Here is a 14034-nt window from a genome sequence, read left to right as displayed (position 1 = left end):
TTCAGAGGGAGAACGGCTCTGCCATTTGAATTCCTAAATGGCGGTTCCATAAACAGTTCAGAAGGGAAGGTCTAAAAAACTCTTTATGCTCCAGGAAGATGAGTAAATTAATTTTTCAAACTTCTGCTGCGTGGGAGATGGGGAGGTCCTGCCACAGGGACCAGCAGGGCTGGATGTCTTGCTTAGAGGTGAGAGATAGAAATTTCACAGCACCTCTTCTAACTGTGGCTTTCCTGGACAAAAAGCAACACTGAACTAGAGAAGGAAAAATTGAGGCCACCTCAGTTTTGGGGGGAAACTCGAGCGGTGAACTGGCATTTTTTTGGCAACTACTTTGTGCCAGGCATTTTACCCACATTATCTTATTTACACAACAGTTATATAAGGTCCCACAACTAGTAAGTGGAAGAAATAGCATTTGATCTTCATTTCAGACTTGTTTGTCTAGGGCAGATCACGTCCGTGTGAGTTCATTTTGAGCATCAGACCAAGACAATTCCATAGTTTCCCTAAGTGGTGGCCACTGCACTTGAACTGCTTGGGTTGACAATGGCCCAGCCATTTGTCTCTCAGATCCTCTGGGCCCCATCTGAACAGATCTCTGATTGTTCGGTGTGATTAGCAGGTGTATTAATGAGGAAGCACTCCCACACTGTGGGTTCATGACAGACTGGTGTGCACCAGGAGTGCCACTGGACCCAAAGCTACCCACACCGAGACGTACTGAACCAGAAACTGCCCTTTCACAATGTGCCCCAGTAATTTGAGTTTGGGTTTACCACTGACATGGGCTTCTTCCTCATCTTTGACAGTTGGCAGCAGACATAGAATTTAGCAGTGGAGGACTCATGCCACCTGCTCATGGGAGCTGCCTCTTCACTGTGGTTCGGGTCCCGGTTCTCATGGGTTTTCAGGTCTAGCTAGGTCTCCTATATCATGCTTAGCTCTGAAGTCAGTGAAGGCTGCCAGAGGGTCACTGTGGGAGCCCCCAGCCTCGTCACTACCCCTGGGCCATCCTGCCCGGCCCCTATGTGGGCATCGCGATGGGGAAGTGTCTGCATCAGTAGCCATGACCTGTCAGGACTCCTCAGAGACCAACCTGCTTCTCAGGCTCCAGGCAGCTGGGTGGACGTTCAAGACTTGCTTCGTTCATCATCTCTGCCACCAATCTCACCAGGTGGTCACCTGGCTGCCAAACATGATGGCTCTTCAGTGGCACACCATTCCATCTGACTTGGCCCTCTTGGGTGGGAAACGGGCACTCCTGGCCCCCTCTCCCCGGAGAGGACCGTGGATCCTGACAAAGTATCTCAGAGTCTTGGTAGCCTGTGCAGCTGCAGCGCACCTAGACTTCTCTCTGCTGGCCAGCTGAGGCCTGGGGCTCACGCGTATCTCGACCCTCTTTAAAAAGGGGGCCACAGGGAGTCCCTGCAAGGCCCAACCACCTTCTGCCAGGGCAGTAGGGAGCGCTCAGCGGGACCCAGGCCTGCAGGCTGCATGGAGGACCTCATTTGCACTTCAATAACATGCTTTTCTTTCACTTAACTATATATCTTGGTGTTAGATTTGTCAGTGGAGAGACTCCCTAGTGCAATTAAACGGGAGTATTGAGCCGGAGAGAAATCAGTGTGTGTTGACTCAGATATTTAAGCAACCACCTTTCAGTATTGACTCAGAAATTGGCCTTCCAGCTGTCCCTGCTGGCAGACTCTTCTGGCATCTCGTCAGGCCGCTGTTAATGTGTTTTTCAAATTTCAACTTGCTTCAACTTGTCTCCTAACTGATCCTCCTGTTGATGACAATAATGGTTTCCAGGCTGACCTGCACACAGCACTTAGGCAAGCAGCCCAGGCCCCTCTCTGGAGGCGACCCCTTCCTTATAAATCACAGTCAGAGGGCGTCTGCTTGCTGGGTTCATGGCAGGTTAAGTCAGCTTGGGGGACTTCTCAAGCAACTCCTAATTGTTCCTCTGGAGAACTTGAGTGGTGAGGGTCTCTCTCCTGATGAGGTTAGACTTTAGCGGTCTGCTGCTGGAGGGGTTGGGTTGCTGATTCCCTCCAAATTTCACTCACTCTTCCAAACAGGAAGAACTTTTCCACCATTTGCAGTCTCCCTGATGAGTAATTATTGGATGGGTTTGTGGTCACTTAATTACCAGGGCCCTTGCCCCTTGCTTTACAGAGTCGTGACTATACGAGCACCTTTCCCAGACGTGGCCAATTAGGGGGGGCCCAGCTGGTTTGGAGCCAGGCTTCTAAGGAAGGCTGGGTCCCTGTTCTCAGCTCCGAGCCCTTTCTGCAGCCTCTCTCAGTCCTTCCTAAGTGTGGCTGTCAAACTTTGCTGACCTTTCCCCCTTGGGGCTAATGAGTGTCACAGCTATTTTTAACCTTGGGTTTTCTAGAAGTTGAGCCGTTAACCTAGCTCCTACAGAAGGAGGATCCTGGGAGGTATAAATGAACTCTTCACACACAAGGAGGTGACTAATGGAGGAACATAGGATTTTCAGTGTCAGGGCTAGCCTTGAAGTTTTGTGTTGACACCCTTGATAGCATCGACCAGATGTCAAATCAGAGCTGGTCAGCACAGGCGGCATGGGTGGGAGGGCAGCCAGACCATCTGTGGAACAACCTGTTCATAGTATAGACGGCTGAGCCTCACCTGAGAGGGATTTGGCAAGTCTGCAGTAGGGCTGTGACTGGTTCGTTAACCAACTTTATAGGGGATTCTGATGAGCCAACTGGCTTGGGGATCACCATCGTGATGGAAAGGGCAATAGACTGAAATCAGAATTCCAGGTCCTGGCAGTCAGCGACCTGTGTGTTACTTCGGGCAAGTCCTCTTCAAGACATTTTTCTCATCCTGAAGGCAGGGGTAATGGCGGGCCTTCTTCACAGGGTTGCTTTGAGAAATAGATGAGATAGTATGTAGCACCTGAAAACAGCAGAGTGTCAGGTGTGCGGACTGCTGAGTCACTTGGGCATTCATTCGCTTAACAAATATATGGGTCTTAACACAAAACTGTAAGAGGTACTGCAGAGGTTTGTTTTTTTTTTTTTAAATACGATCTGTTGTGTGCGAAGAGCTTCAGACAAATGGGACAGAGGAATCCACATGGGAAGTCAGGCTCCCAGCCTTGTGCAGGGCGCTCCAGCATGACAGTGTGCACAAGTGATGCTGAAACACACACTGGGATTTGGAAAACCTCTTAGACAAGGTGCATGCAACAGCAGAAACAAGAATAGGCAAGGATCTGCTCTGGTCTCTGGAAAATGTGGGGACTTCTGGAAGCTGGGAATTTATTTCCTGCACGGCATGGCCTCTTTTGTTCATGGATGGAAAGAGGCAACCAGGCAGTGTGATCCTAGAACAGCCACCCCTTCCCTCATCCTGGAAATGCCACTGCACTCTTTGTATCGCTAGGGTAGAAGTATACACTCACTGGTAGAATTTCCCCTAAAATTTCATTTTTGGAATTTGTGTCTCTTTTGTCTGTTCACACATCCCCTGCTCTTCCTCTAGGATGAGGGTGAACGCTGGGAAAACTGAGATGGAAGCAAGTGGGAGCGGTACAGGGCTCTGCACAAGTGGAGACCACACAGAGCAAAGGCCAGTCCAGGGTGGGGAGAGAGGTGGGACGGTGGCACAAGCCCTGTGCTGTCAAGGACCAGGATGGGGTGAAGCGGTGAATGGGGTGAAGCGGTGAATGGGGTGAAGCCGTGGTGGTGCAGGGCCCTGGAGAAGACTGAGTGCCTGATTTCAGGCTCAGGCCAAACCCTCCACCCCAGTCGTGGAGAATCAGTGTTGAAACCAAGATGTGGTCTTCCATATCTTATTCTGTTTAGAAGGTTAGAAACAGATGCAGAAATGCTATGAAGTGATTATCTTAATGGCAATTGTAAGAATCCTTCTTGTAACCCCATATCATATCGTGTATGATTCATAGAGCCTGCCTGTGATAACAGGTGATGATCCACATCCCACCTCTATTCCCCAAGGCAACAGCATTTCCTCACATTCCATGCTGCTATCGCTGCAGCCACTACCACCCCCAACTCCCCAGCCTCCAAGTTTGTGTTTGACAATCTCACATGATAGGTGTTTTCCAAATGGGAAGATTTCTTCTGCAACCATTCTTTTCATTTAATCTGTTCTTGATCTACATTGAGATAGATTTCTGTGCTGATTTTAATACTGAGCTATGTGATTTTTCCAATTAAAGACTATTTGTTTATTTGTATTATAGAAGAAATATTTAATTTTTAATAAGTATGGATAAACCAAAAGAAGAAAACCAAAGCACCTATAATTACATCATTCAGAGAGACTACTATTAAAATATGGGTCATATCTTCCCTGACTTTTATATGGGAGGCTGTGTATATGTGTATACAGACATGCTTTTTCTTACAAAAATGGAATTGTCATGTATATACTGTTTTGTAATCTGGCAGGGCATGAATTTCTTTCCTTTGAACATTTAAACACTTAATAATACTGAGGAGGATAATTTTAAAAAGATATAATGTGCTTCACATGGTACCCTTATTTCCCATGTGACTTGTGCTATTACATACCCCCAAACCACTTTTACATTGTACCAAATGAAAATCCCAATTATCTTATACTACCCACATCTACAACACACTTTGGTACCCTTGATGTTCCATGAGTCCTGAAGTTTCCTCTAAATTTTCCAAGAAAGACTAAACTTGTTCAAGTTAGCTTTGGTGCTTAGAGTATCCCAGGTGTCTAGATGTCAGCAACACATGGAAGATGTACCTTGTAATTTCTATTAATTGGAAAATGTAATTAACCAGAAGGCTACATTTCCCAACTGTGCACAACAATGAGCATTAACTGTAACAAAATGATGGTACTCATAGGCAGTCCTTGGGGGTTGTGAACAATGGTTTTGTGGGAGCGAAAGATGATGGACGAGAATCCATCTCAAGTAAACAAAATTCTTCCAGCATCTGGATTGTGGAACTGAATTGGAGTAGAATGTCAAACATATATGTGTGAAAATTCCAAGACAGCCTTGCAGTTCTGCGCTGACCAAGTCTTGTTTGAATTGTCAGAGGCATCAACCCAAATTGATGGAGTCAGGTTTGGCTTGTCCAACTTTCACTGTGCTGTTTCAGTTCATTTTCTCAGCACAGTCCTAGCTGATTGTCCTTTCTGTCTGTTCTCTGTTCACTCTTTAGGGAGAGAAAAGGGAAAGAAGAAAATGAATTTAAAGGAAATAGGAGTAGAAGTGGAGGAGATGGAAGATCCAGTTAAGATACAAGTGAGAGAAATGAAAAATGGTCAGGCTAGAAGAGAGAAAAATGTGCTATGAGGCAGGAGAGATGAATCAACGCTGAAAAGCTACATTTCTGAGAAGAGAAATTGCAAGGGGAAAAAATTAGAGTGTTGAATAAAGAGGAGACGAAGATATCTGTAAAATATTGTTTCCTAGTGTTGAGCTTACTCCAAAATACCTTATGAGAGGTTAGGCCAGAAAATAGATTATTCCTTTTGGTTACAAAGAAATCATGGTGCTCTCAGGAAGCAAGAGCAGATCATGAACACAGCCTGACAGCTGCTGGGTACAGGGAATGGTTTCCTTTACCGTATTTCTGCTCATTTTAGCAATTCCAGCCCTTTCCAGCTCAGTTTTCATTTTCACTAGAGTGACCTCCACTTTTCATACAATTACAAACATACAAAACAAATAAGTTCTGGGATCACAACACTTTTGTGGATATTTTTTTCTCTCAAAGATTCTTATAACATTTCTTTGAGTTGAGGGGGAGACAGATGTGTTGTGTGGTGTTGTTTTACATCTGGAGAAACTGGGGCACAGAGGAGTATTGGGGGAGAGTTCAGCTGCTCTTTGTAGTGCTGTTGGGTGGTGATGGATGTGGAGGCAGATGACCAGGTCTTCTCAACAGAAAAAAATTACACTTCCATCTGTAATCAACTCATTTTTTCTCTATTTGCTATGATGACAAAACAAAACGGAACCCAAATTTCACAAATACACTATTTTTATCATTTAACCTGCATGTTTCCATTTTTGAAAAATTTAGTTCTAATTATAATAGTTTTTACATCTCAAAAAATACAATACTGCAATAAACTCCATAATTCAAAATGAAAGAGAGTATTGGGAATAATAAAATTAGTAGAGAATCAGCAAAAAGCAAAAACAAAACATCCTGTATCTGAATAAGTAACAGTTTCCAAAGAGCATAAAATACTGCTGAATATAATTCAGTCGTGTGTGTGTGCGTGTGTGTGTGTGTGTGTATGTGTGTGTCAGAGAGAGAGAATATGTAATAGCAATCAAATGAACATATAGCTAATGATATCTGTACTTAGCTAACTCTGGTTGCGCCATACCCTATAAAATGTCACAGTTGAGAGTTTCATGAACCTTGATTCCTTTTCAGATTGGCCCCAATATATGCATGAGCTAAACGCTTCCTGTAAATCATTGCTGGAAGTTGCCTCAGTGACATGGCCCTACATGTCCCAGGAATCCCCCTTTCTCTGCTCCAGGGCCCTCTCTCCAATTTTCACCTCATTCTGGGCCTGAGACTGAGATGAGACTGGGGAGAGGTCTGGTAGCCCCAAATTTTCCACATGTATGTCATCACTGACATTCCTCAATGAGCAGTGCATTAGCGAATGGAGCCTGTTTCTGTCTCATTGTTTGTGCTCTTAGGATCTTAAAACAAAACCGATCACTAATCCAGGTTCAGGATGAAGTCTGAGTGCTAACAGCCTCTAATAGTGAAAAAAAAAAGTCATCCATTATTTTGGGAAGAGAAGGCCGAAGACAGGAGCCCCTCTTGATTTCCCGCTTTCTATAATACTAGATGTACGTGAGCCTCAGACCTAATACATGCGCCTTTCTGAACTTGAATATCTCTGGGACAATGATTTATATTTTTAAAAAAGGAAATGGCAATGATATATGACTTTAAAATCTCAGACGCTGCCCTTCCAAATGAAACTGCAGGGAACGCGGGAGGAGATAGATTCAGTGTCCTCCACCCGGCCTCTATCCCATTCCTTCTCTGATCCCACTCTCTCTCTTGCCTTGGCTCACAGTCCCGGAGGCGGTTTTTCTCCAGGGCCTTCTCCCAGGGCTCCCTCCCATGCTTAGAAATACTAATTGGCATCTTTGAGTTTGTGCTCTATGGGGCATTGCGTGACTCACTTGGTATAAATCATCTAGTTTAATGATCATAACAACCCTGGAAGGCAGGTGTTATTTCTCCATTTTTCATATGAGGAAAACTGAGGCCCAGAGAGCTTCAGTAACTCATCCAGGGTTACAGGTCAAGTAGTGGCAATGCTGGCTCTGACCTTCAGCCTCCGTGTCTGCTGCTCAGAAGTCACAGACAGCCACAGGCCAGAAGACAAGGAGACTTGGTGCTATTGTGTGAGTTATGCAGAAGCAAAGATGTGGGTATGACCAAAAAGATGGCACAGGGCAGTTCAAAGAACTCATATAGCCACAAGGCAGTGGTCTGTCCGGGCTGTTTGGCCTTGGCTGTGAAGAATTCTTCCTGTCCAGGATCACACTGAGTAGAAAAGGAGGCCCGTAGTGTCCACACGTGTTCCCCAGGGTCTGGCCCAGACAGACAGTCTGAGGCTCGATCACTTGCTCACCCCTCTGTGTTCTTTCAGCTCCTGATGAAATCATCCCTGTGGGGAGTGCAGGGCCAGATGGGGACTCCATGGAGACAGCCGACCGGCGACAGCCTTCAGCTCCGACAAAGACACATCACCTTGCAAATGACACTTTGCCGTCTGGTTTCTGTGTTTTGTTGTAACAGGTTAAATGAACCCCTGGGCTTAATTTTCCCCCTACTTAGTTCTGTGGCAGCAAAGAAAAGTGACTTCTTTTCATTTCTCAGCTCAAAACTTCTTAAGCCGTGTCTCTTCCTCATCATCCCTTTGAGAATAAAAGTCTAGAAATGAAACACAATCCTGACAAGTTTGGAAAATGTGCTTTTATATTCTTAGTTCAAAGCCAACCCTAAACTTTGAGATTTTGGGTCAAATTTGTTCTCAGAGACGTAAGTTCGGCCTTGAGGCCTATTTCTGTCTTCTTCTAACAGGAATGAATGGCTTCAAGCTCTCATCACTATGGTTCCACTGAACCTTTGCCTGAACAAGAGCCCCAGTGGCTGACACCCTGACTCTGGAGGCTCACCTTGTTTTAAAGGGTGGTGGGAAGGAGAAAGGGAGGAGGAGGGGAAGGCGGAGGGGGAGGGGGAGGGGGGGGAGGAGGAGGAGGAAAAGGAGGAGGAAAGAGACCCAGGCTCTGCAGTTTATAAATCACCCCAGAACACAGCCAGGCTGTGAAAGGCACTCAGCCAGAAGTTGTGAAAGCAAATAATTTTCATTCCCTGCCCTGGGAATTACGTGAAGCAACAGAACAAAAGCTGCATTCCCCAGAGATTTTCTGAATGTAAAATGAAAGGGAAAACATGAAAATCACCGGAAAGGCAGAGTTAGGAAAGCTAAGGAAAGAAGGCAGAGCACAGCCAAGACACCTTTGGCCGGTTCGTCTCCTGCTTCCAGCTGTAGGTGCAGAATACCTTCTGCAAAGAAGAGTGTTGGAAATGTTCTCAGAGGCTATCCCAACTAGGAGAAGCGAGGCATGAGATGGGGCTATGCATCTGCATTTCGTGATGATAAGAAAATAAGTATTTTTTTTGACCTAGACATTAACGAAAATCTTAAGGGCACACAGGAGCTTGTGATCCATTTAAGCTAGTACCTTACTTGTCCCAAGAGGCATTAACTGTCTCAGCAATTCCCAGGAGGGCACAGGCAGGACCTGGCTCTGTCTTCAGCCAATCCCAGGGCCTGGAGACAAAGGGAAAGTGACAAGGGTTGAATTCCTTGCTGCAATCTTTCTAGACAGCAACTGTGTTTGGTGTCTAGAAATGGACAGGTGTGACCTGCAGTCCAGCGGGAAACAGCAAGCTCAGATTAGACAAAGTGCAGAGTCAAGAGATGGGGGTTCTTGCCCAAGCTTTACCACCTGATACACCAGCTATAAAATGGGGTTAGTGACAGCTGCCCCACCTACCTCATAGTTTTATGTGTGCATGTGTGCGTGTGAGAATTCAGTGAAATCTAAGAGCACAAAGATAATGACAATGCTTACAGTAGTAATAACCACAGATGCTCCTCCACTTACGATGAGGGTTCTGTCCAGATAAACCCATTGTAAGCTGAAAATACAAAAATGCATCAGGTTTATATCCTGATAAAATGTTTATATCCTGATAAACCCATGGTAAAGTTGAAACTGTAAATCAAACTAGCTTAACTCAGATGCTCCTTGACACACGACAGGATTACTTCCCAACAAACCCACTGTAGAGTTGAAAAACTGTTAAATCAAACCATCAGGGGACCATCTGTACTAACATTTATGGAGCCTCAAACATGTGCCGGGCACTGGCCCTGCATGCATGTATGTTACACATTACTTCTGCTCCTGACAGCAACCCTATAAGACCACTATTCCAGTCCTTACTTGACAGACAAGGAAATGGGAACTCAGGGAGACTTAGTAGCCCAAGATGGCACCACTGGTGAGCAGCCAAAATAGGGAGCCTAAAGCTCAGTTATTACACCATCAAAAGAGGTGGGAAAGCCTGGTGGTATGGACCCGGGACTAGCTGTGCAACTTTGGCAAAGTTGCTTAACATCTCTGGGACTTGGCATCCTATTTGTAAAATAAGGGTAATCAGAGAACCTGCTGCATAGGGTTGTCATGAAGATTACCTGAGATGTCCACAAAACGCTTAGAGGCAGGGCCGACACTTTGGTAAGTGCTCCTTAAATGCTAGCATTTTAAAATTTTCTTAAATGCTCCTATTGAGTGACTGATCTCCCTGCTTAAGTGGAGGCAAGGAACGATGTTGGAGCTCACGCTCTTGTTACTTTAGTGATACGGTTTCCTTTGAAATCCTTAGCTCTGCTGTGAGTGAGAATCCCATACAGAACGAGGAACCCTGTTATGTGGTAGCATTGCCTGGGAGATAAAGAGCAAAACAGTTGGTGGGGTGGTGGCTTTCTGTTTCATTTTTAGAAAGAAGAAAAGCCAGAGCCTGTGGTTTTAGCCCCCAGCTGGCAGCTTGCTTTGCTTCCTTGGCCCTGATAGAATATGCCAGCTTAATGTTCATTTGTACCGACAACTGCCAGGAATTGTGAAGCAGGTGCTCTCATCCTGGGCTGAAAATGAAGAGAATTTTGCTCAATATTTATTAGGAGTAAAATAATAGTTTCCAGCTTTAAAGGAATGACTACATCTCCCCGCATTTGGTGTCACCCTGGAAACTATTTATTCTTTTGAGTAAACACTGCTGGAGACAAGCTTCAGGTGCCCAAGCAACCTAGCCAGGCTGATGAAGTGCTCTGTGAGCCCCCAGCACTCACTCGCACGGGCACCTTCATTCTCTCTTAGTCTGCTTCTCTGGGTTGGAGGCCTCAGGAGCCCTGGTACCAAGCTGGGTGTGTGAACACTCACTAAGAGGGCAGATTCACTTGAAGGAGGCCTGCACCTCTGCACACATCTGCAAGTGCTAGGCTCTAACACCAGCATCTGGTGGTCTGTCTGATGTCCACCAACCCCCACGTGTGGCTGTCACTCCAGACAACAGACTTGTTTACAAGCAGTGAATGCTTTGCTCAGCAGAGCAGGCAGAATGACCCCAGACCAAGCCCCTCTCAGCCTCAGAATCTTCAAGGATAGGAGCCCTCCCACACCTACAACCTGTCAGTTTCATTTGACTGCCCCCTTACTCCAGCTGCCTCCATCTCAGGCACCTGTTCAGGAGCATGGCAGACCAGGATCCCAGCAGATGGCTGGTCCTGCAGGCTGAGGACTGACAGACTCATTCGCCTGTGGCCCACAGAGACAGGCAGACATTGTCATTAGGAAGAATTGAAAACATTGTTCACTGCCCCTTTCCAGTGGGGCACAGAACTTAATCCCATGGCCTCTACAGCAGCCTGCGCCCCTCCTCTCAGCCTCTCCACATCAAGCCTTCCAGGCAACATTGGATCGTGGAGGTGAAGTTCACGGATGTGTGTGGAGGAGACAACAATGTGTCGGGTGTCCCCTCTGTCTCCCTGTCTTCTCCTTCGTGGACATCTGGAGACAGTTCTTGGACGCTCAGGGCTGGCCAAGGCCTGGAGTCTCACTCTTCCTCTGGGCTACGAGGACCTGCTTGTTCTTTACAATCACCCGTTCTCCCCCGCCCTTTCTTTTTCACCCTTTCTCTCTTTTCCAACTCCCCTTCAGCTCGAGTTGTGTGTGAGAGAAAGAAGGCGGCTCACGTGCCCGGCTGAGGAATGAGATCATTTCTCTCCCCGTGTAGCGGGCTTGCTGTCTGCTGGTCAGGGTTACTGGGAGAAAGCAGGCCAGCTCGCTCTCCACAGAGAGCCATCTGGCTCCAACAGACTCACGCGGATGCTAATCTATTGGTTTCTTTTTCTTTTATTCTTTCATTCTTTCTTTTTGTTTGCTCCCAAGGAACACTTCATCTGCAGCTGTAAATTCAGACCTGGCCCCGTGAAGGCGAGCGTTCATTCATGCACTTATTTATTCCTGCATTATGCCCCCTCGCCCCCTCTCCTCTGGTAGGTGTCAGGAAGCCATTGTTATCATTGGTGGGTCTATGTCATTTTAATGTCAGGGCTGTACTTTCAAATGGAAATCAGGCAATTACGCTCCACATGGAGAAATCTGACAGATGCAGAGGTTTTACACCACTGGCCGTGTGGCAGGGACAAAGGCGACCAGGGCTCCCAGGGGACGGTTAAATAAATAGAATATGTTTCAAGAGTGCAGAAAAATTCAAGAATAATTAACTGCCTGATGAGAGTTCATAGATCCTGTGGCTGTTTATCTTCAGAATGTGATAATGATATGTCAACGAACCACTTAACTCATCCTTGTAAAGGCAGCGTTAGAAAACTGATTACAATGTGCATTTACACAGAGGCAGACTGCTCTGTGCATCTGTTTTCCGGTTTCTAAATGCAAAGCTTTGCAGTATTTTAACTTGCTCTGTTTCCCCCTCGCAGGGGTTCTGGTTGGAGAAAGATGGAGGCATGTTCCAAGTCTGATGTCTACCTGATGAAGCACTGTCGTGTCTACATTCACTGTTAGCTAACCACAGTGGTATCTACAGATACCAGTGGTGTGTAATATCAGTGTTATCTAATATCAGTGGTATCCACCTGGGAACTCAAACTGAAAAACATGGTAACTATATCATTGTGGCTATTGTTGGTTGATGCTTGTTTTGCATCAAGCACCCAGCTAATTATTCTCCATAGGTGGCCTCTTATAGTCCCGTGAGTGTGACGTATATAGTATTATTATCCTTGTTTCACAGAGGGGAAACTGAGGCTTGGGGCTAAGTGGAAGAAGTGGCCTTCAGACCTAGCTCTGCCTAACTCTGACCTTAGCTCTCAGCCACTGGGCCCCGGTCCTCTCCAATGTTCCAGCAGGAAGAAAGGTAACTACTCACTCACACCCTGTATAAAGCACTCTCATCATGACAGACACATATAGTTGGTGTGAACTAAACAGGAGAGATCTAATAAAAGTTAAAACTTGATTTTTTTCCCTGACATATCCAGCTGTTTAAACAGACAGTTCATTTGGAGCCTGAAAAAGGGTCATTATTCAATGTGTCCAAAGCTGGGTTTACATTAGTTTATTTTATAAAAAAGTAAAGTGCCTCCAACTACTGGTCATTGCTCTCTTCTATTGTGGAGGAGTCAGGGAGCAGGCGAGGGTGTGTTTGGACTTCAGCGCCCCCTGCGCTTCCTCACTAAGCAGCTGCCTTGAAATACACGGAAGCTGATGCCAATTAGAACACAGAAAAAAGGGAGGACGTTTTATCCCTCAGGAAAAGTATGTTTTAAACCAAACAAATGATAAAATAAATACAACAGATTTATGTACTAATCTCCAATGCTTTCTCCGATGAATGAGTGCCATCCTGAAAGTCCATGAGGCCCCTCTGTAGTGAGCAAACATGAATCAAAGCCAGAGGTATCAGGAGACAAAACATCTACTAATTTGCTAGGGACTAATAAACATCAGTCACACCCACAACACCCTCCATTATAACTTGTTTTACCTTGTCCAAGGGTAAAGACATAAGTAAGGAGACTCACAACCTTTTAGAGCATTAGCTTTGTCTTAGGTGAGGAAAAAAAAATAAACATGCTTATGGAGGAATTAGTTTTCTTTTTTCATCTCTATTGAACACATTGGTTTGAAAGCATTAGCATAATAAACTTGCGTTACAAAAACAAAAAGTACTATTAAAGTATCCTTTCCAATAAACACCTTAATTAAAAGGATTCAAATACTAGGGAAAAGCACGAAAGAGACAAAGTCATAGCTCACTCAAGAACGGATCACTCGAGAGCTCAAGAAAACAACAGGAACATCAAGCCATGGGAGGGCTGATGCAAGGTCTGGGATAGTCAGAATGAACAACTCTTGTTCCACAGAGACCAAACACTAAAGAATGAAGGGAATCAAAACAGAGAGAAGAAAACGGGAAAACCAATTCAAGGCCAGCATTAAAAAATCTGAAGAGGATGGGCGCGGTGGCTCACGCCTGTAATCCCAGCACTTTGGGAGGCCGAGGCGGGCAGATCACCTGAAGTTGGGAGTTTGAGACCAGCCTGACCAACATGGAGAAACCCCGTCTCTACTAAAAATACAAAAAATTAGCCGGGCGTGGTGGCACATGCCTGTAATCCCAGCTACCCGGGAGTCTGAGGCAGGAGAATCGCTTGAACCCTGGAGGTGGAGGTTGCGGTGAGCCGAGATCGCATCATTGCACTCCAGCCTGGGTGACGAGCAAAACTTCGTCACACACACACACACAAAAAATCTCAAGAACAAAAATCGAGGTCAACGGCCCTCAAAATACATGTCATAGCTGATGTCATACAATTGGTTAATGTCCATAATCAATTATTTTCACA

General features: G+C 45.6%; 1 pseudogene across 1 annotated transcript in view, besides 1 other annotated feature; it reads left to right on the top strand.

The window, feature by feature from the left end:
• The window catches only part of GUCY1B2 (guanylate cyclase 1 soluble subunit beta 2 (pseudogene)), a 71647-nt pseudogene extending 63666 nt beyond the window's left edge, over positions 1 to 7981 (top strand). Inside the window, exon 17 of the transcript NR_003923.2 lies at positions 7681 to 7981. The product of NR_003923.2 is annotated as a guanylate cyclase 1 soluble subunit beta 2 (pseudogene) (transcript). The remainder of the gene's footprint in view (positions 1 to 7680) is intronic.
• Positions 979 to 1149: a silencer, noted in NCBI's record as "fragment chr13:51575479-51575649 (GRCh37/hg19 assembly coordinates)". NCBI's record gives its function as "represses an EF-1alpha promoter that drives an FKBP-Casp9 reporter gene in an ReSE screen in phorbol 12-myristate 13-acetate-treated (for megakaryocytic differentiation) K562 erythroleukemia cells {active_cell/tissue: K562(+PMA)}" and the evidence as "EXISTENCE:reporter gene assay evidence [ECO:0000049][PMID:32094911]".
• Positions 7982 to 14034: the final 6053 nt, after the last annotated feature.

Source organism: Homo sapiens, chromosome 13 (assembly GCF_000001405.40).
Source record: "Homo sapiens chromosome 13, GRCh38.p14 Primary Assembly".
Lineage (NCBI taxonomy): Eukaryota > Metazoa > Chordata > Mammalia > Primates > Hominidae > Homo > Homo sapiens.
This window is presented reverse-complemented; position numbering and strand designations above follow the sequence as displayed.